The sequence below is a fragment of the Homo sapiens genome, chromosome 10 (genome assembly GCF_000001405.40).
Source record: "Homo sapiens chromosome 10, GRCh38.p14 Primary Assembly".
NCBI lineage: Eukaryota > Metazoa > Chordata > Mammalia > Primates > Hominidae > Homo > Homo sapiens.
In genome coordinates this window covers 6,494,194-6,516,898 of record NC_000010.11, presented here as the reverse complement: position 1 = coordinate 6,516,898, position 22,705 = coordinate 6,494,194, and the positions used below count along the sequence as shown (strand labels likewise).

The following is a 22,705-nucleotide window of genomic DNA, read 5'->3' as shown; positions in this document are numbered from 1 at the left end:
TTTTGCCCCAACTCTCTTCCTTGCTGTAATGGAAGCCCTGGTCACCCTGGAGGTTTCCATCTTCTCTTCCTGGGGCAGCATTTCCCAGACGCCTGCTGGGCTACTGTTGCCTGATTAGAAACCCACCCTGGGAATAGCAGGGTGACACCAGAAAAGGTCAGGGTGCTTTAACTCTGGCTTTGTGAGTTAGTGATCCCTCTAGACTCAAACAGAATTAAGGAAATCTTCAGAAAGTCCCAACAGGGCAAAAACTCCCGTAACTGAAGATGATTCTTAGTGATTTTTCCTGATTTGTGGAGAAATGAAGTTTTGTCTAAAAGACCCAATTGGCCCAGGAAAGAAGGGATTCTCAAAGAAACTCTCTCCAGAGAACTCACAGCTGTTAGCCCCGCTCCTGCCTGGGAATTCTAAACTCACAGGGCAAAGGGCGCCTCCTAAAGACAAATTTGTAAGTCATCTACCTGCTAATTCAGCAACGTGACAGATACGGAACCCAGCAAATCATGATGTTTACCCAACCATCTCCTTTAGATAAAACTTCCAAACTCTGCAGGAAATTAGGACTTCATTAATATCTGTGAAATTAATGCCCGTCAAAAGCTCCTAATTTGTCTCTCTTGTGGAGTCAAAGAACACTGGTATTTAGCATACTGGAGATCCCTTTTGTCTTAGCTAGATGAGGTATTACAGGCCCAAGATCTCCAGGTATGTTACTGATTCTCCTTCCAGGTCTTTATTATTTCAAATAGTTTTCTTTCTTTATACAAAGGCAGAAAAGACAATCAATGCTTTGTTTCTTATCTTTGGCTTACTTATGAAAGCTTAGAAAAAATTATAAGTATAAATCATCAAAAAGAGAGACGGAGCAAGGAAGTAACTTTTTTGCTGAATATCAGATGATAGTTTCAGATTAATGGGACCTCGGAAAAGTAGGTAAAAAAGAAGAGGTATCTAGTTCACATAAGTGGCCAGAACACTCAATAATGGAACAATAGATGAAGAATTAGACTAGATTCCTGGATTTGTAGCTAACACTTTGATAACTATCATCTAAACCTCTTGGAAAGCATAATTACTGATTTTTGGGCTTTTATGAAGTATTTTGTTCATCCTTATATGAGAAAGCCCTATTTTATAGTAGTCAATTAGTTTGGAGTTTTCTACGTGGTTTGTGATGTTCAAAGGCTTAGAGTGTGTGTGTGTGTAACTGTGAAGAAAGCAGACCTTTTTGAAAATGTCCAGAGTAAATAAGGATCAGCTGCCGAATGCCTTGGGCCAATCCCATTACACACATAAATAGACCATGTAAGAATTTTGCGGTGTCATATTTAACTAGTGTGACTAAAATAGACTCGCTCTATATAAACTCATTTTCTGATTACTGTGTGCTGTTTCCTGGGCACCTACTTGAATAACAGAAGACATAAAATATTGGAAAACTTTTGCCTCACTCTCCAACCATTGGGCCTAACTCCATTAGGTTGAATGGAACTAACTCTTGAGTTACTTCTCAAAAGCAAGGTTGAGTGCAGACTTCCAGAAAGCCTCTCCCCTCAGCAAGTCAGTGTGTGGTTTTGGGTGAGTCCAGCAGTGTCCTCTGCAGAAGGGGAAGTGAAAACATTTGTTCACATGGATAGTGGACCTATGTGAGGTTCTGGCTGTCCATGATAAAGCACTGGTTAAGTAGACATGGGGCACCAAAAATAATATCTTTTATAGCCCCCAAACAGCGTTTGTCTTTTGTCTTTTTCCAGGGCGCAACCATGTCGCCATTTCTTCGGATTGGCTTGTCCAACTTTGACTGCGGGTCCTGCCAGTCTTGTCAGGGCGAGGCTGTTAACCCTTACTGTGCTGTGCTCGTCAAAGAGTATGTCGAATCAGGTAAGCTTGAGGGGATTTTCAAAGCGGGGGAGGAGGAGGAGAATCCTGCTATGAACTGTGTATGAAGCAAGGTCTTCCAGGACATTTGACATCATCTGGTGGAACCAAATCCTGCCATTTAGGACGCTGATGCCCAGCAAAGCCAAGGACTTCCTCATGGACACACATTTCGTGATGGACTCTAAACCAGGACCCGATGGCCCACCGGTGCTCTATTGCACTGTATCATTTTTCCCACATATACAAAGGGAAAGAGAAAGCTGGGTTGAGGAAATTACATAAGGAGTTAATGGGAAGGAACTCTAATGAGCTGAAGTAGAACATAGCCCTATGTGGTTAAGCCTGGTTACTTTAAATAAGTCTAGGTAGATTAAGACTGCATAATCTTCCAACCAACTCTAAAGACTGCTTACTGCTGCTTTGGCGAATCTTCAGTGGATATTACAAAGCATCTATAATTAGCCATTAGAATCCAAATTTCAGAAAACGTACTTTTGCACTCACTAAGGTCTTGGCTGAATGAAAGAATAGTGATGTTTCATCAAGTTCAAATACAGGCAGCTCAAGGTGAGGGGGAAAGTGGGACAGCCACCCAACGTCCTGTTTGTGGGTTCAGAATGTTCCATTCCAACAGTCTTATGTGTAGGGAATGTCTCTGTGGTCACGTCGGCCGGCTTCCACTCTCCAAGATCTTCACCTCTGCATTGGAAGTTTGCCACGGATTTCCAAAGGAAAAGTAGGAGGGAGTTTAGATCCCACAACTCTCCTGACTGCACACCTTTTCTTGTTTCCCTACGTGCATTTTGATTTTAGCAGACACTTTGTAGGGAATGATAATGATGATGGATGCAGGCTTGCAGTAACTATGGAAGCCATCACAGTTCACTTACACAAAAGTGTTTACGGAGAGACCACTGCAAGAGTGCTGGGACCAGAGCATAGAGGGAAAAAAAGTCAAACAAGTAAGCTGAAGGAACTCAGGAAGACTGCCTTCCCTTTAGAGCATCTATTCTTGCAGAAGAAAGTGGCAATAAACAAAAATACAAACAGCAGGTAATGAAGGAACAAAAAGCAGTGTAAAGAAGAGAGGGACTGGGGGCAGGGATGTGTGTTATTTTATATAGGGTTGTCCTGCAAAGGCCTGTGAGCGAGGGACATTTGCAGATACAAGAAGAAACTGACTCAGACTTTGAGAACCTCCTGCCAGATGCTCAGAGTTCAGATTCTGGGGTTCCCAAACCTACTATTTTGCATCCCCCACCAAAAGCCTTTTTGCTTCACAGCTGACTTTGTCCTTCCAGCCACTCTGAACACATCAAAGCCAGAGAGACTGTCTGAATCATCTTGATTTCCTTTCTGCCCAGAGTTCTCTCCTGTTTAGTTAAAAGTGTGAATGCCACTTGCTCCCAACCTAAAACCTTTCAGATGTCACAGACATCTTTGAAGTGTAAAACGTCTGAGTTTTTCAAAGCCGCCTTTGACTTAATGGGTCTCCTGGATCCAGTTCTCTTTACCATCTCAGGTCTCCCTGACATTTGCTTCCTGAGGGCTTTTTTTTTTTTTTTTTTTTGCATTTGGCCTTGCCTTTGAACTTGGTCTAATGAGCCATGTGGATCGAGAGTCCTTGTCAGAAAAGAAGGAAACTGGTTTTCCTAAATATTAGCCTGTGGAGTTGGAGGGAGTTTAGAGATTTTTGCTTTTGATTTTATTTTGGGCTTGTTCTGAAAAGAAATCACTCTGAATATTATCATTCAATATTTACTTCTACAGGATTTAAACACATTTCAGTTCTTGGGGTGTAAGGCTGCATTTTCCACAATGAGCCAACAGAACAAGGACAAACAGGCTACGGGGCTGCGGGGTTGTGAGTCGTTAAAACGGTAACACTCTACATAGATAGGGCCCTCTGTTTAGGTGATTACAAACGTGGCGAATGAAAATGTAAAAAGTGCCTTGCTTTGGGGACTTTTGCCCCTTCTCAGGGTATTTTTGGCCCTTTTCTCCAGGCACAGAGAATGGTTACCATCAAAAGGAAGTATCGGAAAGGGAAGCTTCAGGTCTGTGGAAGTAAAATGTTACCGTGATCATTAATATTGCCGTTGGTTTCTAAAAAGCCCAATCTCCAGTCCAATTTTTTTTTTACCAACCCACAAAAAATGTCCCCTTTCTATTCCACGTTTAGTAGTCTCATGGTTTATGTCTTTCCTAGCCAAGTTTATCTAACATTTGAGTTTCAAGCTTATTCAACTCCTTGTATACCCCCGAAATAAATATTAATTTAACAAATGCTAAATGTCTGCTCTGTTTAGCTTTGTGTGTTGGACAGAAGGGGCCCTCGAAAGTTAGAAGGGCTTTATTTCCTGGCTTTAAGCAGATTTTTCCCCTTTTGCTTAATCGACATCTCTGAATTGCTAAATCTGCCACTTAATGTGCTTATGTCACAAGAAACAAACACTCAAATGCAGGTTTCTGCTTCTGAAATGATTAAAGAATAAATACCAGAGAAAATCCAATGTGCGTGAAAGACAAGAAAAAACTTCTTAATTAGTAAACTCTTTGCCAATCACAGAGCGGCTTTAGGGAGGTTTCCCCTAGACTGACCTTCCTGTCTACAGATTTGTTACTATTTCCAGGGCTCCTGCCTACCTGCCTTTACTCACTTGCAGGCTGGCAGTCGGCTTCAGCCTTGCTGGCTCCATGGGTAAAGATCAGCACCACCTCTCTGACTTGCTCATCAGCTTTTGCTGAGGGTGCATGGTACATGTAAAATGTATCTTCACCCAAGAATTAGAGAAGGAAATAATGGCTCATTATGTTTTAAAGATCATTGTCTCTTACTGTATTTATGTCAAATGGAAAAAAATGTAAATATTTCTTAAAGGAGCATTCATTATGCGCTGAAATTACGCCACTATGTCTTTCAGATGAACACACAGTAGTTTTGTATTGACTATGTTTAAGCTGGGGCCAGTGAGGTTAATCAGTCATAGGATCAACACTACAGATTAATAAAGGAGAATCTCAAAGGCATAAAAGATTTTTTAAAAAGTTTGTTGCTCAGGTGTTTAAACCCAGAGTGAAGCAACTAACTGTTGAATAGGAAAATAACATTTTGAAACCAACCCAATAGTCCCATAGACAGTTGTTTTTGGCTGATTATAGAAATGGACCCTTCTGATCTTAAAGCTTGGAATTTACATTTGTTTTATCTGAGTTTCTTCCTCAAGAAAGGATCCCCACACCTCTCAAAAAAAATATTAAAGAACTGAAACTCACCAGATCATGGCATCCAGAGACTGAAGCGCCAGGCCCCTGGTTCATCATGATTGCTTACTTACCCCTCCCAAGTTCCTGTTTTCTCATACAAAGTTACATTTCTTCCCTGCTATATAAATCCCTAGTTTTAGTTGGTCATGGAGATGGACTTCAGACTGAGCTCTCATCTCCTCGGCTGCAGCACCCAACTAAAGCCTTCTTCCTTGGCAATTCTCGTCATCTCAGTCATTGGCTTTCTGTGCGGTGAGCAGCAGAACTTAGAATGCCTGGTGTTTTGGTAACAATTTCCAGTCCAAGGCATTAGCAGATTGTTGTCTGAATTATCAACGCTGGACTTATAAGGTTCAATGCATCACCTTGCATCTGGACCCGGGGACTGTCTCATTCTGTCCCATATTGTCTCTGATTGTTTATGTGCTACTTTTGTCTTCCCAACAGAATTCTATATCCCAGAGAACAGAGGGAGCAGGTGCTACTGTTGAGTTGAACTGAATTATTTTCCAGGCCTGGCTGAAGGAATAATGAGACCTTACGTTTCTGTTCCTAGAGAACGGGCAGATGTATATCCAGAAAAAGCCTACCATGTACCCACCCTGGGACAGCACTTTTGATGCCCATATCAACAAGGGAAGAGTCATGCAGATCATTGTGAAAGGCAAAAACGTGGACCTCATCTCTGAAACCACCGTGGAGCTCTACTCGCTGGCTGAGAGGTGCAGGAAGAACAACGGGAAGACAGAAATATGGGTAACGTTGCATAAAGTGTATGCACATAAGGGATAAGCATGATGGTAGCCGATGACTGGCTCAGAACTCCCATGTCAATCTGAGGGTGTGATTACACTGGCCTCGGGTCACCAGGCTCCCTACCACTTCCTACTGGTGATTTGATAATGGCGATGGTTATTCTTTATGGGCTGTAGAACACATTGACATCTTCAGATCTCTTTGATGCCTACATCAAAGAGATGTAGAAAGTCTCTTAGACTATGATAAATTATTTAAAACTGTTAAAGCAGGCTTGGAATATCTCAAATTCCCCTTAAGTGGGGGATGAGTTTTTGTCTATCAATCCAGTTGTCAGTTTCATTCACTTTTTCAGTTTTGGGAAGAATATTTGTATATAAAACTTAATCAAGATTTATGAAACAACAACTCTAATGCTTTTTAACTTAGAAATTACTTGTTTAACCCAGTAGACTCAGAACACGTTAAGATATCAAAATCTTAATTTTATTAAACTTCATCAATACACTTTTAAAGTAAGTAAAAAGCTATCAGAATGCGAGAGGATAGAACAAAGATCCATTTAATGTTTGGTCTTCTCTCTCTATACTTTGACAATTCCTACAATTTTTTTCAGCTGTAATGAACTTAGCTTACTTTGACTAAGAAGTGCATCATACACAATTCATCTTAGCACACCAAGTTGTCAAAAACCTGGATTATGGTAGTAAATATTTAGAAATGTTAAAAGGAGGAGTAAAATAATCAAAGCGTTAAAAAAATTCCAATGAAAATTTCTGGGGCACAAAATAAAAGAAAATATATCAGTAAGAAACTGCTTTTACATGATCTGAAATCCAGAAAATGTTTTCAAATGTTTATATCATCTGTGCCAAAGGAGAGAATCCTGACTTTCTGCTTCTTACTTTCTATAACTCAGATTTTTAAACATCCACCCAAAAGATTTTAAACTCAGATTTTAAGAAATCCACCCAAAAGATTTTCAAGAACTCAGATTTTAAGAAATCCTCCCAGAAGATTTTCAAGTCACAGGTTTCAAATGGGAATGATACAAGCCTAAAAACTAGGTTTTTGTGTCAGTTTTGTATTTTTGACCTAAAAAAATGGATGCTTTTTAAGAAAGTATAAAAATCTTTGCTCGTATCACTAAAGTAATCTTTAGAGACAAATATATGCCAAGATTTTTTTTAAAAGGTGCTCAGGCCCATGCTTAGATATGTCCAGGTAATTTAGTTGGGCAGTATCTACTCAGCACTTGTGTGTTGGCTTGGGAAAAGGGTTCCTGGGGCCGGGTGTGGTGGCTCATGCCTGTAATCCCAGCACTTTGGGAGGCCAAGGTGAGCAGTTCACCTGAGGTCAGGAGTTCAAGACCAGCCTGGCCAACATGGCGATACCCTGTCTCTACTAAAAATACAAAAATTAGCCAGGCGTGGTGGCAGGTGCCTGTAATCCCAGCTACTTGGGAGGCTGAGGCAGGAGAATCACTTGAACCTGGGAAGCGGAGGTTGCAGTGAGCCTAATTATTTTATTAGGTAGAAGCAGGAATGGGAGAAACTGAGGAAGACCAGTTTATTTGGTCTACCTAATTTTTTTTTTAAAGAGTCGTCAATTCCCCAATTTTAAAAATACGATTCTATTCATGTTTCCTTCTCAATTAATGAAAGGATAAGTCGGAGGGTGAGTATCTTTTTGTTAAGTAGTCTTCACTGATAGGCAGGTTGCTGTTCTATTTGTATCTCTTCAAGTTGCATATGATTTCTTGCCTAGGATTTTGCTGATTTCATCCTTAACAGACTTTTCTTTGCATTCTAGGATTATTTAGACATAAGCACATGGTGGCATTCAGATGCTCATTTAACCAACTAGCACATTTTTTGCACTTTTAAGCTTTGGTGGGTTTTTTTGTTTTCTTTTTTATTTTTTTGCCAAGGTTATTTCTTAATTTACTTTTATTTTAAGAGCCAACAGGTTGTTGGGACTTATATTTTCCCTTGCTTCTATTGGAATCTGCTTTTCCAACACTAATTTCTCTAAAGAAAATGATTCTCTCAAATTTGCCTTTCATGTTTCTCAACGCCGTATTGAGAGACACCTTTTGTTTTCCCAAGGTTGTGACTGTTTTCATGGTTGTCTCCCATTCACTCCCCAAAATGTGCTGGAATGTGGCTTTCTATGGGTGCTGTTTTTCCAGTAGCTAATTGGTTTAATTTCTTCCATCACTACTAAGTACTGAATACTGCCAACCTTGTGGTCACCTGGTGCCAATTTTCATTATTCCATTTGGAAGCAGGCCCCTTACCATAGCTCTTCCATCTCCATTTTTGCCTCCATCTTTACTCCTTATTCACAAGCCAGAGAACAATGGTGCATACATGCCATGTCAAAAGCACTTTTCTTTTCATTAATCTGTTGAAACTCATATGAAAATTTATAGTTGTTGCAGCAATGCAAGCTTATTTTATCATAAAATTCTCATGGCAGTAATGCTGTGACATAGGCATTGCTATTATGTCTGTTTTTCAGAGATTTCCCAAGACTTAGTGACTTGCACAAGGTCACATAACCAGAAAATTATTTAGCCACGATTCAGATTCAATCCTGAGTTCCACAGGACATTACTTGCTATTTCTTAGTTACTCCGGCTCACGTGGATAACCCATGGACATAATGACCAATAATGACCTTCAAGTCATCTTCTTTCTTATTCTTTTTGGTCTGTTAATGGCATAGTGGGATGGTTTAATAGATTAACAACAGCGCTCAGCTTGTCTTGAACTTGGATTTGTCCTTTCTTCTCCTTATGTCACTTTATGGGAGATCCTACATCATCCCTTAAAATGACACTTTGTTCCGCCCTCTTCTACATAATAATACAGTACTGAAGTATGTATTTATATACATTTATAAATTCCTTCCCAGATCAGTGTAATTAGAATTTTCTTTAGTGGACCATCCAAGACTTTCCTAAAAATACAATCTCTCTTTGTGAAAGAGAAAAGCCATCCCCATTGAATGCCCTGATTAACCTAGACATGCATCCCAGGTAGAAAAGAAGACAGGGGCCTGGAGGCGGCCTCAAAGAGGCAGGATTTATCTTTCCCTCCAAAAGAAGAGCTTTTTCCCCAAGGAAGCCAGTCCCAGTGCCTGTGATTCTTTTGTCATGATGAAGATCTGGGTCTGCCCTGTGACAGTCCTTCAGATACGCAGCATTACAGGGCAAGAAAACCAAATAGAATCTGTTTTAGGATTTTATTTCTTCCTTATGTAAGTTTTTCTCTCCAAATAAAATTAATGAATTGCTGGGATGTTTTAAGAAAAGAAAGGCGATTGTCACGGTTGCTACAGTCGTCTGATGACAATGAGTTTGAGTACAGTGGAGAGTAACAATGATTGTATTCTGTGGTGGAAATCTCCTGCCATCGTCAGTAGCCAGTGATGTCATTGAACTCAGGGCTTGTTTCACATTCTGACTGATGTTTCTCTCCTTCTCCCAACCAGTTAGAGCTGAAACCTCAAGGCCGAATGCTAATGAATGCAAGATACTTTCTGGAAATGAGTGGCAAGTGACATTTCTTCTTCCTGTTTGGGGGTGAGGAGGGCATGGCCTTCTCCTCAAATGCAGCTTATTTTACCTTTGCAATTATTGTAGAAGAGAATCAGGAGAAAAGAGAGGCACAAAATTGTTTTAAAATTCTCAGAGGTGCTCAGGCATGACTTTAAAAGACACTATCTGGGCCGGAAAAACGTAGAAATATAAAACATTTATAGCACTTGTTTTAAGTGATGTGAATCCATATGCCCAAAGCTCTTATACTCTGTCTTTAGTTTAGTTTGGGAATTCAGTCTAAATACAAAAGACTGTTGATGTGTGGTTATGTGTGTACACATTGTCTATGGTTAAATGATGTGCTCTAAGAAGCTACCATATTATCAGTAGAATACAAAATAAGTAAGAAGTCAATCAATATATTCCATAAAATTAGTAACAAAATGCTAACACTTGAAGTTAGTCACCTCAAGTCCTTTTAGGAACAAGAAAAGGTGAGAAAACACATTGCTAAAGGGTTTTGATTCCATGTTACATGTGGACTTTGGCCACAGAAGTGAAATTTCCCGGTACGATGTGCTGAGACAGGCTGTCAGGGCTGTGTATGTGAATCAAATCCCCCTACTTAGAAAATCCTAAGTCACAGCATGGACATGTAAACTTACTGATGGTAAATTCACTTCATTTTTTCCTAAATTAATTTTACTACCAAGAAGAAGCAAGTTTAACTTTATACATTTATGGTGCTTTCTGAGTTTCGGCTTACCATATATAATTCCTCCGTGTCTAAATTCAAACAAATACATCAGAGAAAACAATATTATGAAATAATCATAGAAAACTTGAACACTCACTAGATATTTGATGATATTGAGGCATGGTGAATTCATCTTTTAGGTGTGATAATAATATTGCGGTTATGTTTCTTTAAAAGGCACACTGATCTTTTACATATATATGCTGAAATATTTTAGTAAAAGGCGAAAGATTTATTCGATCTGAAGAAAAACCAGTGAATAGCTGAAATATTTTAGATAAAATAATATGATACCATAGTTTTGCTTCAAAATAATCCAATGGTATGGGGTGTAGGATGGACAGGGTGTATTGAAAGAGAGTGGCCATCAGTTAATAATTGCTGAAACTGAATGATTGATATATGAAAATTGATTATAGTATTTGCTCAACTTTTAGGTATATTTGAAATTTTCCATAATAAAATTTTTTTAAAAGAAAGAAAGAATTACTGAGATGGGAAAAATGTACTCTGAAATTTTATTTATTTTTCCTCTTGGAAGGTGTAGATATACAGTACACATAGTACAACTTTTGAGTTGGCTGAAATAGAGTGATTGCAGGATATCCGAATAACCAGATTTGCATAAAATGTGAAAGTGCTGACCTAAATAATAGTATCAATGATGTTTAATTCCTTGAATAAGAGAAATACATTCCTCCCATTAGTTTAAATCATGACCCAATGTAAATTGAAAAAGGGTCTTGTCTGGGCATGGTGGCTCATGCCTGTAATTCCAGTACTTTGGGAGGCCGAGGTGGGCAGATCACTTGAGCTCAGGAGTTCCAGACCAGGCTAGGCAACATGGCAAAACCCATTCTCTACCAAAAATACAAAAATTAGCCAGAGTTGGTGGTGCGTGCCTGTAGTCCCAGCTACTTGTGAGGCTGAGGTGGGAGGATCGCTTAAGCCCAGGTTATTGAGGTTGCAGTGAGCAGTGATTTCACCAGTGCACTGCAGTGTGGATGATACAGTGAAAGAAAGAAAGGAAAGAAAGGAAAGGAAAGGAAGGAAGGGAGGGAAGGAAGGAAGGAAGGGAGAGAGAGAGAGGGTGAGAGAGAGGAAGGAAGGAAGGAAGGGGAAGGGAAGGAGAAAGAAAGAAAGAAGAAAAGAAAGAAAAAGAAAGAAAGAAAAGGAAGGAAGGAAGGAGGAGGGAGGGAGGGAAGGAAGGAAGGAAGGAGAAAAAGGGTCCTTCAAAAGAAAGAAAGAAGGAAGGAAGAAAGGAAGGAAGGAAAGAAAGAAAGAAAGGAGAAAAAGTGTCCTTCATCAGAATGCAAGTATTTTTGGTAAATGATTTTAAGATCCCTGCTTTGAAAAACAATTCCATGGATGGTCCTTCTATTCCTGTGGAACTTAAATATTTTATTAGAATGAGAGAGCAAATTCAATCGGGCAAAAACAATGATATTCCGTAAACAATAATGACATAAGCCTAGGAAATGTTTTAAGAATAAAGCTTTGGCCGGGCACGGTGGCTCACGCCTGTAATCCCAGCACTTTGGGAGGCCGAGGCAGGTGGATCCGAGGTCAGGAGACCGAGACCATCCTGGCTAACATGGTGGAACCCCGTCTCTACTAAAAATACAAAAAATTAGCCGGGTATGGCAGTGTGTGCCTGTAGTCCCAGCTACTCGGGAGGCTGAGGCAGGAGAATGGCATGAACCCGGGAGGCGGAGCTTGCAGTGAGCCAAGATTGCACCACTGCACTCCAGCCTGGGAGACAGAGTGAGACACCATCTCAAAAAAAAAAAAAGAATAAATCTTTGTAATATTTAAAACTTTTTATATCTAGATCCAAATTGACACTCCATCTCTAAATTTTTATGTGTCAAAAAAATCTAATTTTAAAAACCAAAGTTATGGAATAACCTAACTAGAAAATTCCTTGTTGATGACAAGGAGGAGAGCATTCTTTTAAGAAAGCTCATTATTAGTATAAGAAATCGTCTTCTGAAGGATTCAGAAAAGCAAAACGTGTTCTTCTCCTCAGGGAACATATACCCAGAGGTGGTACAGATTAGACAATTAGATAAAATTATAACCTAAACCACACAAATACTGATTAACCAAGAGATCAGTGTGTGTTGCTTTCATTTCAGTAAGTTCCACAGTGTGGGCATTAAAGGTTAGCAAGAGTTGAGTTTTCTAAAGAAGAGGGATGGCCTTACAAGGAGGAAAAAGTGAAGGCTTGAGCAAGAATATGCCTTGTGTGAGGGCTGTGGGGAGAACAGCCTAGGTAGACCAGCAGGCTCCTGCTGAAACCAGAATGAAGAGTCAGAGACAGATGTTGGAGGGCAAGAGGAGTGCATAGTCTTGGGTCATGCTTTGAACTAATGGGAAGAATATACTTTCTCTTACTCAAGGAATTACACAGTATTGGTCTACAAAATTTCACTTATGTTATGGAGAGGTGATAAAAATCTGTTCTAAGGGTGTAGCTACAGGAATAAAATAAAAGGAACAATCTAAAAGAAAATACTGTTGCAGAGAGATTTCATGGTAGAGTAGATGAAATATCTACAGAATGCCTGTTAAGTGTACATAGTTGAAATGCTTTATAATTCTTTAAAAATTAGGCTGGGAGCAATGGCTAATGCCTATAATCCCAGCACTTTGGGGGCCAAGGCAGGAGGATCACTTGAATCCAGGAGTTTGAGACCAGCCTGGGCAATGTAGAGTGACCCCATCTCTACAAGAAAATTTAAAAATTACCTGGGTATGGTGGCACATGCCTGTAGTCCCACCTACTTGAGAGGCTGAGGCAGGAGGATCACTTGAGCCCATGACTTCAAAGATAAAGTGAGCCAAGATAGTGCCACTGCACTCTAGCCTGGGCAACAGAACAAGACCCTGTCTCCAAATAATAATAATAATAATTAATCCTTAAAAATGTAAGTTGAATGAAGGGAAAAAATGTTGAGAATATCTCTTAAAATAGCTAGACTGGGAAAATGGTAGGAGTCACAGAAGTGGGAGATATGGAAAGAGGAGGAAAATGATTGGGGGATAAGGAATTCAAATTTGGATAACACTTGAGATAATACCATGTCTCCCATGTTTCTCTTCCATGGAAGCCTCACCTCCTCTACCTCACCAGGAAGTAAATGGCTCAGCTCTCCATAACAGACTACTTTGTTCTTTCTCTTTGAAATCCCCTTCTGTTGGGTTTTTGAGCAGGAATCATTTTTTCTCTTCTTCCTCTGTTCTCCTATTATTACTCTTGTAACTTCAGAATTCCCCAATGTCATCTCATGCCCCCCTGCCAACTTTCTATTTCACACCTTCCTGTGCTTCTCTATCCATTCAGTAACCAACCTTCAACCCACATATCATCACTCAGAATTCTCCACCTCCAGGGACTCACACTCAGAACTTGCTTTTTCAGAGCTCATCTTCCTCCCCTGGCAATTCTGCCCTTATTCTCAGACAATAAGTACTAGCCTTTAGTCCAGTTTCTCTTTTACCCTATTTATTAGCCCACTTTCTGGCATTAACTCTACCTAGCCTGGCTCCCATGATAAGCCTTTGTCAGCACTCTGCTCTCATTAGTTCCCCTTTGCCATGGATAGTCTGATCTCCAAACCTTGCATTCTCCCCTCTCATTCTCCCCGGCTTTGCTAGAAAAAGTCATACAGCTAAGTGTGTTACAAACAGATGGTATTAGATGACATTCCTATGGTTCAGACTCTATGTTTGGCTTCTTAGCAGACCTCTCTGACCAGATTTCCTGTACTTACACATTTTAAGGGGTCAAATTAAACTAAGTATCCAAAATTACATTTGCCACATTCACGAGTAACCTATTTCTTTTGTAACTTACTATCGTACTTAATTATATAATAACTCACTCCACAAAACCTGGAAGTAATTTTTATAGCCTCCTTTTCTTTCAACTTCCACATGAATGCATCAGTCAATCATTTGTGTTCGTGTTGTCTAGTCAATATTTTTTCCATTTCATCATCTAATTACATCATTACTACCTCCTGCCATATCCCATCCATTCTCCTATGGTGGTCCTAGAAGTAACGATGCCAAGCTCAAATCTGACCATATCAAGCCTCTGCCCCTACTGCAGTGTTCCAGCATCTGCAAATTGTCTGCAGGAAAGTGTTCAAACTGATCTGACACCTACACATCTTCTGGAAGTGACTGCTGATCGTTTCTGCTTCACCCTCTGCACTCTGGCAATGCCCAGCTAGTGCTGGACCCCCACCCACACCCTGAGGAACCTTAGCTCTGTAGCTTTGCTTGTTCCCTTCCACCCAGAGAGAGCACCTTTGGCTTTTCCCCACCATACCTTCTCCCACACATTAGTAGGAGTTACCTGTCCAGAATTCAGCACAGAAACATTTCTGCCAGGACGTTTCTTTTCCAACTTCCCTCTTTCTCTCCTTCACCTACCTCCACCTGCCTTAGCTGGTATAGTTTCCTCATTTCCGTGGTCCCACAGCATCCTGTGAATACCTCTGTTCTGACACATCGATTTTCTTTCCCTCTGGACTCTTAACTCCTTGCAGAACAGCCACTGTCAAAACACGTCTCATTAATTCCTTTAACTGTGGTGCCAAGTTTCTGGTGAGGCATGCAGGAAGTACACAATGAATGCCTGCTGAACTGTTCAGCTGGACTCACCTTGGCACTTAGAAATCTCCTTCATTTCTTTTTGATTCCCACACAATGGCTATTCCTACCATTCCCATCCTCCTTGGTTTCTGGGGATGCCTCAATCTCCTCTGATTCTGGGAGGTTGACCTTGCCTCCAATATAAGTGGTAGAGACCCCATCTTCTTTTTATTTAATTTTTTTATGTATTTTTTTTTTCTTGAGACAGAGTTTCGCTCATGTCGCCCAGGCTGGAGTGCAATGGTGCTATGTTGGCTCGCCGCAACCTCCGCCTCCCGAGTTCAAGCGATTCTCCTGCCTCAGCCTCCTGAGTATCTGGGATTACAAGCATGTTCCACCATGCCCAGCTAATTTTGTATTTTTTTTAGTAGAGACGGGGTTTCACCATATTGGTCAGGCTGGTCTCAAACTCCCGACTTCAGGTGATCTGCCTGCCTCGGCCTCCCAAAGTGCTGGGATTACAGTTGTAAGCTACCACGCCCAGCCGAGACCCTGTCTTCTGTTTGTCTCTACACTTTAGGATGCAGTTGCTTCCTCCCGCCTTCTCCTCCTGCTCCTCTGCCTCAGAGACAGCTGCTCCCTTTCTTGGTTGCACACCTCTCATCCCAGCAGTCCTGCTCTATCAATAAACTTTACCTCTGACATCCTCAACTCTTCCTTCTCTCTGCAGTTTCTTCCTTATTCCCAAGACATACTGCATTATGCATCTTCCCCAATCTTGAACATCATCTCTTCTTTTTTTTCACCTTTTTACCTCCTTGAGTTTTTTTTTCTTTCCCTAACACATTCCTTTAAAAAGTAGTTTATATTTATCAGTTTCTTTTTCTTCCCTTCTACTTCTATTCTTAGACCCTAAGACTCTGGGTCTCCAAGATTATGAGTTCTCACAAGTGGTTCCTGCTTCTTAGCCTTCAATTTCCTTGATATCTCTCTATCATACAATGCTGAAAACTTCATTTCTTTTCAGCTTGCCTGATGTGATATTGTCCAGGTTTTCCTCTTAATTTTTCAGCTGCCTCTTCTTGGTCTCTTTTGCCATTTCTTTTCCTACCTCCTAAAAAATATGGGTACACATATCTCGGAGCCTATTCCACACCATCATATATTGCCTCTTAAGGTTGGCTGTTCTGTGCCTGTGCCACGTCTCCCTGACTTGACTGTTAGCCATGCAAGGGTGAGGAATAATGTGTTTCTTCAGCACACTCAGCAAGGCAGTTTACTCACAGCTGCTCAGGAAACTTGTAATTTGATTGACTACAAACAAGTGATAGGTTAGACCACATAAATAGATTAGAATCCATTAGTATAAAAGAAAAAAAATTGCAAAAACCAATGAGCTCATTCAAACCAGTAAATAGAGAAATAAATATAGTCAATACAAAAAAAATTAAAGAATTCTATGTTTTTACATTTATTCTTTTGTAATGATTGAAATAGAGAATAATGAAAATCACAGAAAATAACAGGGTATTAATTCATTTCTAGAAATTCCTGATATTTTAAAAAAATTATAGTACTATAGTCTAATGTAGAAATTGTGTATATAACTATATATTTATAGTTTATAAAAATATAAACTATATGTAGACATATATGTATATAAACATATATGTATAGATATATGTATAAAATATGTTTAATATACATATAAACATATATGATTTTTACAGTAAAAACCTGTATAGGGTCCCCATAATAATTCACTTTCATTCCCTGCATTTAAAAGTGTATTTATACTTATTTTTATTTTATTTTATTTCATCTGGACCAAAATAGAAACAAGTCACATGTTATAAACAAATGACCTACTATACTAGTCACAAGTTGTAAATAGATTTGGACATTTAGACCAGAACTTGTGGAAGAAGGTGATTAACTCAGTGATCCTTAATTTAACCCCTCATTTACCAAGCCAAATCTATTATTTCCAGCCTAGTTCCAGGTAAAAAGACCAAAATTACCTACTCTTAAAGTATTAGGCAAAGTATTATGTCCCATCTGTGGAACTGTTAGAGGGTTACTGGAAATGCTTTTTGTCTGGAAGTTGGGGTTGCCATAAAACAAATCTGCGGACACTACAGAAAAGACTTCAGTCCTACAATGTGTCCTGGGATGTGGCTGGATTCCTGGGGGAGGTTTCTACCCACACAGCTCCTCCTTTGTCTACCTAGAGTGTTTCTAATCTAGCCACTGTTAGGGATTGGACAATAAGGTATCTTGGAAGATAATTTGCCCCAAACGCATTGTCAGGCTACTGCCACTGCTTAGCCACAATAGAAGAAATTTAGTTTGAATATTATTAACTCATTGTGAAATATGATGAACCTGCTTTTTAAATGAAACCTCAATGTTTTGTATTTGTAACAAAATAGAAGAAGTAATCCAAGAGTCTTCAAGCTATTACAAAATTATAACTCTGGGATTTAAATTCATTATCCTTATTTATTTATTCACATATTTATTTGTGTATCATTTTTGTTACAGCAGTGGATATTTTTATTTCTTTACTGTTCCTTGTGTTATTCTCTCTCACCTGCTGTGTCCACTGTGCTGTTTAACCATGACTGCCTTACAATTTGGTGTTTCATGAGGACCTGGGCTTCAGCAAGGGCATCCTGAGCATTCTCATAATTTGACTATCTTAGTTTTTCAACCCTTTGGAAAGATGTCATTCAGGTATAGGGCACTGTAAACAGTGACTATCCAAAGCACTTTCACCAATATTTATGAGCCCAGAGTAAAATGAATAGATTGAATCTGATGGTTTGATGCTGATGACTAGGTAATGCACAGGATTACCTAGACACCAAAAAAATGCAGTGAGCTATTAATTTTCTGGCCTTTTTCACATTGGTAAATATGGTTGGCAGCTGGTGTGTCTGATCACTGTGGACATCAGGAACCAGGACACAATGTCCCAAAGTTCCTTTCTCCTCACACAAAATCCTGGTCAGCTCCCCCTAGTCTACTCCAGCATGTCTCCAACAACCTGCTATAAAGCATCCTGGCACCTCTGAAATGCTGTTCCCAAGAGGCTGTCAGTAACCATGTGATTCTCTAGAATTACAGACAGGAAAGCCTTTGCCACTTCCTGCCTTTTCTGACTGAGTCATCATTGATGGTGACAAAGAGAGGTTGATAGATCCCTTCAAAGTTCTAATCTCTGGTTTTGAAACTTGAAGAGGATATATCGCTCAGCCCAGTCAAAGAGGAGCGAAGGATTGAGCCAGCAATCCAACATTGTTTTCACCCTCTAACAATATGCCCTATGATGAATCTGTGTTGTAGAATTTGAGGAAAGATGCTTAGTGTGGTACCCACCATAATGAGTACCTGGAATGTTACAGCAGGTACTCAGAGCTGGTCCTCCTCCATCCCTTGCCCATCTCCCTCCCCTCCTGACCCAGCTTAGAATAGGAGTCGTCCTTTTGCAGAACTTCACTTTCTTCCCCTCTCTCTTCCTGTAGACACAAAGGACATGAATGAATTTGAGACGGAAGGCTTCTTTGCTTTGCATCAGCGCCGGGGTGCCATCAAGCAGGCAAAGGTCCACCACGTCAAGTGCCACGAGTTCACTGCCACCTTCTTCCCACAGCCCACATTTTGCTCTGTCTGCCACGAGTTTGTCTGGTACAGTAACTTGGCATCTCCCTCCAAGCTTCGGGTTATGCATTTTGTTGCGTCTTCTTAATCCTCTACGCTGGCATGCTCCACTGTGGGGGGTGTGCTGGAGTAAATGCTACCTCAGCGTTGTCAGGGACCTTGCCTGAACTGAGAAGGTTCAAATGGTGTGATCCAATAAAAGAGGTGCATGAGGAAGCCAGGTCTAGTCAGGAAAAATGCCCATGGGATTTTAGTTTCTGCCTCAATGGGGGGGCTATTGGGGGTAAGTGGGAAGAAACAGAAGTGAAAGGTATCTTTATTACAAACAGTTTTCCAGTTTTATAGTCAAAACTTCCCCCACCTAATGGCCCAACCCTGCTGGTGCTACTTTTTCCAGCAGGCAGCACTCTGCCATTGTAGCTAATGGTTTAAATGCTTATGAGGCTCTTGGGTATCTTAATAGCCATCAAACAGATCAGTTTAAACCTCAGTAACCACATAGCAAAGGCTATGACAGAGTGGAGACTTGAAATAACTCCTGTTTCTGGCTCTCAGCATCCTAGCCTATTAAGGGATACTCTTCCCTTTAGGCTACTGCAGAAACTGTTAAAGCACAGCTCCTGTGTAACCAGGGTATCCACATGCCAGATCGACTTGGCGGGTTTTCATCAGCCTGCTTTCGTCTAATCACTTGAACCTCCTTTCTCTCTAATCATGGATGTCACTCAGGAATCGGTCCTGCATGTGAGACTTTGTTGGTTGCAAATATTCTCAGATGCTCAGAAAGAGGAAATAAAATGTTACAGATGTCTTTGTTCGTCTGTAGTGAGCTCAGCGAGGCCATGAATTTTTAAATCTAGCACAGGGAAACGTGCTACGAAGAGTCTGTGATGCATGCATTTTCATTCATGCATTTTAATCTCTATATGTTTGGAAAATACAAGGATGATAAATCAGCCAGTTCTCATTTATTTAATTATCAAACTTTTTAAAACGCAGCTTCAAATGAAAAACACTCTGTTAATACTCTTGGCAAATGATACAACAGGGCTGCTGATCAGAAACTGCTCTGTGATCTTAGGGGGTTATGAGATCTCATCCATCTCTTAAATGCTGTTGGTGCTGATGTTGATGCCAACATTGAAATAAATCAGCGTGTGCTTTATTACAGGGGCCTGAACAAACAGGGCTACCAGTGCCGACGTAAGTAAGAGGGTTTTGGTTGCATTACCATCATTCTTTTTATTTAGTTATTCCTTAGGCTATGAAAATCTTAAGCTGTGATTTTTTTCTTCTTTTCAGAATGCAATGCAGCAATTCACAAGAAGTGTATTGATAAAGTTATAGCAAAGTGCACAGGATCAGCTATCAATAGCCGAGAAACCATGGTGAGTATTTACACTCCTCTTTGACGTGCAGTGATTTTTATCAGAACGTTAAATGTTACAGCCCACGAATTCTTCAGAATAATGCCAGAACTTGCATCCTCCCATTTATCAGTGAACATCCATCTCCCCAAAACTCTTTCCTCTTCAATAATGATTCTTACTGAATTACCCAAACCAGAGGATGAATTAGAAATTAGCCAGGCCTGGTGGCATAAGCCTGTAATCCCAGCTACTCAGGAGGTTGAGGCAGGAGAATCTCTTGAATTCGGGAGGCGGAGGTTGCAGTGAACCAGGACCATGCCACCGCACTCCAGTCTGGGCAACAGAGTGAGACTCCATCTCAAAAAGAAAAGAAAAAAAAAAAAGAAATCTGCACTTGTACCTCCTAAATATACACAAATTATATACAGGAAGAATTTTCATTGCTCTACTTTTCCAGAAAAATGGCATAGAAAGTGGCCAGAAAGCATAGTTTAGATTAATTATATGAGAATAATCCTTGTGGCACCCCCAGCTAGAAGTGACAGTAAAAGAGTAAATAAAGGCAAATGATGATAAGATACAGCAACATGGCATTTACAAGGTTAGAGATAATAACAGAGGCATAATTTTATGTTGAGAAGCAAATATTTCTTTTAGAGTAAACGTTGAGGTATAATCGGAAGACAAATTACATTTTACCTAATGGAGGGGGGAAACTGGGCTAGCACATGGGCAGTGTATCATTATGAATTTTAAATTTTTAAAAATTTATATGTATTTAGGAGGTACAAGTGCAGATTTCTTTTTTCAATTTTTTTTTTTTTTTTTTTTTTTTTGAGATGGAATCTTACTCTGTTTACCCAGGCTGGAGTGCAGTGGTGTCATCTTGGTTCACTGCAACTTCCACCTTCCAGGATCAAGAGATTCTCCTGCCTCAGCCTCCTGAGTAGCTGGGATTACGGGCATATGCCACCACGCCTGGCTAATTTTCGTATTTTTAGTAGAGATGCGGTTTCACCATGTTGGCCAGGCTGGTCTCAAACTCCTGACCTCAGGTGATTCACCTGTCTTGGCCTTCCAAAGTGCTGGGATTATAGGCATGAGCCACCACACCTGGCCTACAAGTACAGATTTCTTCTATGCCTATATTACCTGGTGGGGAAGTCTGGGCTTCTAGTGAACCCACCATCCGAAGAGTGAATATTACACCCAATAGGTAATTTTCAATCCTCCCTCCCTCCCATCCTGCCATCTGTAGTCTCCAATGTCTATTACTCCACTCTGTCACTCATTATGAAATCTTTTGACTTCCTTCTCCCACCGTTTCCTTTTTCATTCCACAAATCCTCACTGGGTATCTGATTCATGGAAGATACCGCATTCTTCCAATGACAGCATAACACAAAACAGACGTGGTCCTGCGAAGTTGGAGAAACAGATAATAAACAGCTATGTATGGCTTCGATTTATATTAAGTGCTACAAAGATAGTGAACAAGGTGCAAGGTGGAGAGTAAGCATGTGGCCTACTGAGACTCTGTGGTCCGGGAATCTCCCCAACGGAGGGAACATTGAAACTGACAGCTGAAGAGTGACAGAGCTGGTTAGGTGAAGAGCAGGAGGAAGGAAGCTCCTTACAGGCTGGAAGACCCTGCTGAGGGAGAGTCCAATGTGTTCCAGGAACTGAAATGGGACCAGTGTGGTGACAGCTGCAAGGGCTGCGCAGACTGGAAGCCCACACTGGGGAAGGCACCAAGGCCTGGGTCATGCGGGGTTTCTTTGGAGCCTGGAAAAATGATTGTATTTTGTGCAACTTGTAGTAGAAAGCCCACTTTGGGATGCTGTAGTAGAAATAGTGCGTTGAGATGTGAAAGTGAAACCAGAGGAGATGGAAGGAATCCTCCAAGCGGGGAGGTTGGTGGTTTATACCAGTGAGACGTCAGCAGAGGTGGAGCAAAGGGGCAGGTTCTCAGGTGATTTTGATGTTAGAAATGACTGGATTTGCCAAAAGATTAGATGAAAGAGGTGGATATAAGGATGATGCCGCAGGTTCTGGCTTCTGCCCGAGGCCGAGCAGTGTGGTAGATAACAGAGCCACGACGGAGTGAAGAAGACTGGAAGGAGAGATGAATTTTTCCAGTTTGGACATGTTGAGTCGGAGAGGTGGACATCCAAGTTGAAGCATCAAATAGACAATTTCACATGAGCTTGGAATTCCTCTGGGACAAGGGCCCAACCCTATAAATTTGACAGTGACCATCATATAGGTAGATTTTAAAGTTGCTGAAGAGATTGCCTAGTGAGGAAATAGAGAAAGTTCAGGACTGACTACAAAGGAATCTAAAATGAGATGTTAGGTAGAAGATAAAGGACAGAGATAGACATTGAGAAACTGGGCTCAGAGACCGCTCCTCCTACACCCAGAGTCTATGAAGTTACAGAAACCAGAAGAAGAAGAGGTGGGTTGTGTTCTGTGCAGTTGAGGTGTTGAAATTGAGGCCCACGTGCAGATCTTCACAGGCTTAAATCAGAGAAATGTCAGGGGCATCTTGGAGGCATTAGTCTGATTGACCTGCAGAAGGGTGACTGAGGTGATGACATGAAAACAACCTGTAAGTTGATATTATGAAGAAGGTGAACCATGAAGGAGATGATGGACAGAGAACAGTGGCTGGGAAATGAGACCCCAAGGATGGCAAGTGCTCCCGTGGCCAGGGAGAGATGGATAAAGCTGGAGAGACAGATAAACAAAACAGTCAAGTCTGTTGGCAGGAAGCGAAGAGGGCCTGAGCTCTGGTGGAGACTGGTCCCTGGAGCTTCCACAGTTTAACCGGAAGGGAGTAGGGCAAGACAGTTGCTG

General features: G+C 40.7%; 1 protein-coding gene across 9 annotated transcripts in view; it reads left to right on the top strand.

Annotated features, from left to right (window-relative positions):
- Positions 1–22,705, top strand: part of PRKCQ (protein kinase C theta) — a 186,550-nt gene that overhangs the window by 63,748 nt on the left and 100,097 nt on the right. For 3 of the 9 annotated variants that reach the window (NM_001323265.1, NM_001242413.2, NM_006257.5), the window contains exons 2-7: positions 1,755–1,881; positions 5,705–5,904; positions 9,403–9,463; positions 18,341–18,503; positions 19,648–19,679; positions 19,779–19,864. In NM_001323265.1, coding sequence (NP_001310194.1) covers positions 1,764–1,881; positions 5,705–5,904; positions 9,403–9,463; positions 18,341–18,503; positions 19,648–19,679; positions 19,779–19,864 — 660 coding nt within the window. In that variant the 5' untranslated portion in view covers positions 1,755–1,763. Of the gene's footprint in view, positions 1–1,387; positions 1,579–1,754; positions 1,882–5,704; positions 5,905–9,402; positions 9,464–18,340; positions 18,504–19,647; positions 19,680–19,778; positions 19,865–22,705 lie in introns of those variants that run through there. The other 6 variants (XM_005252497.5, XM_005252496.5, NM_001323267.2 and 3 more) reach the window with 4 other exon arrangements.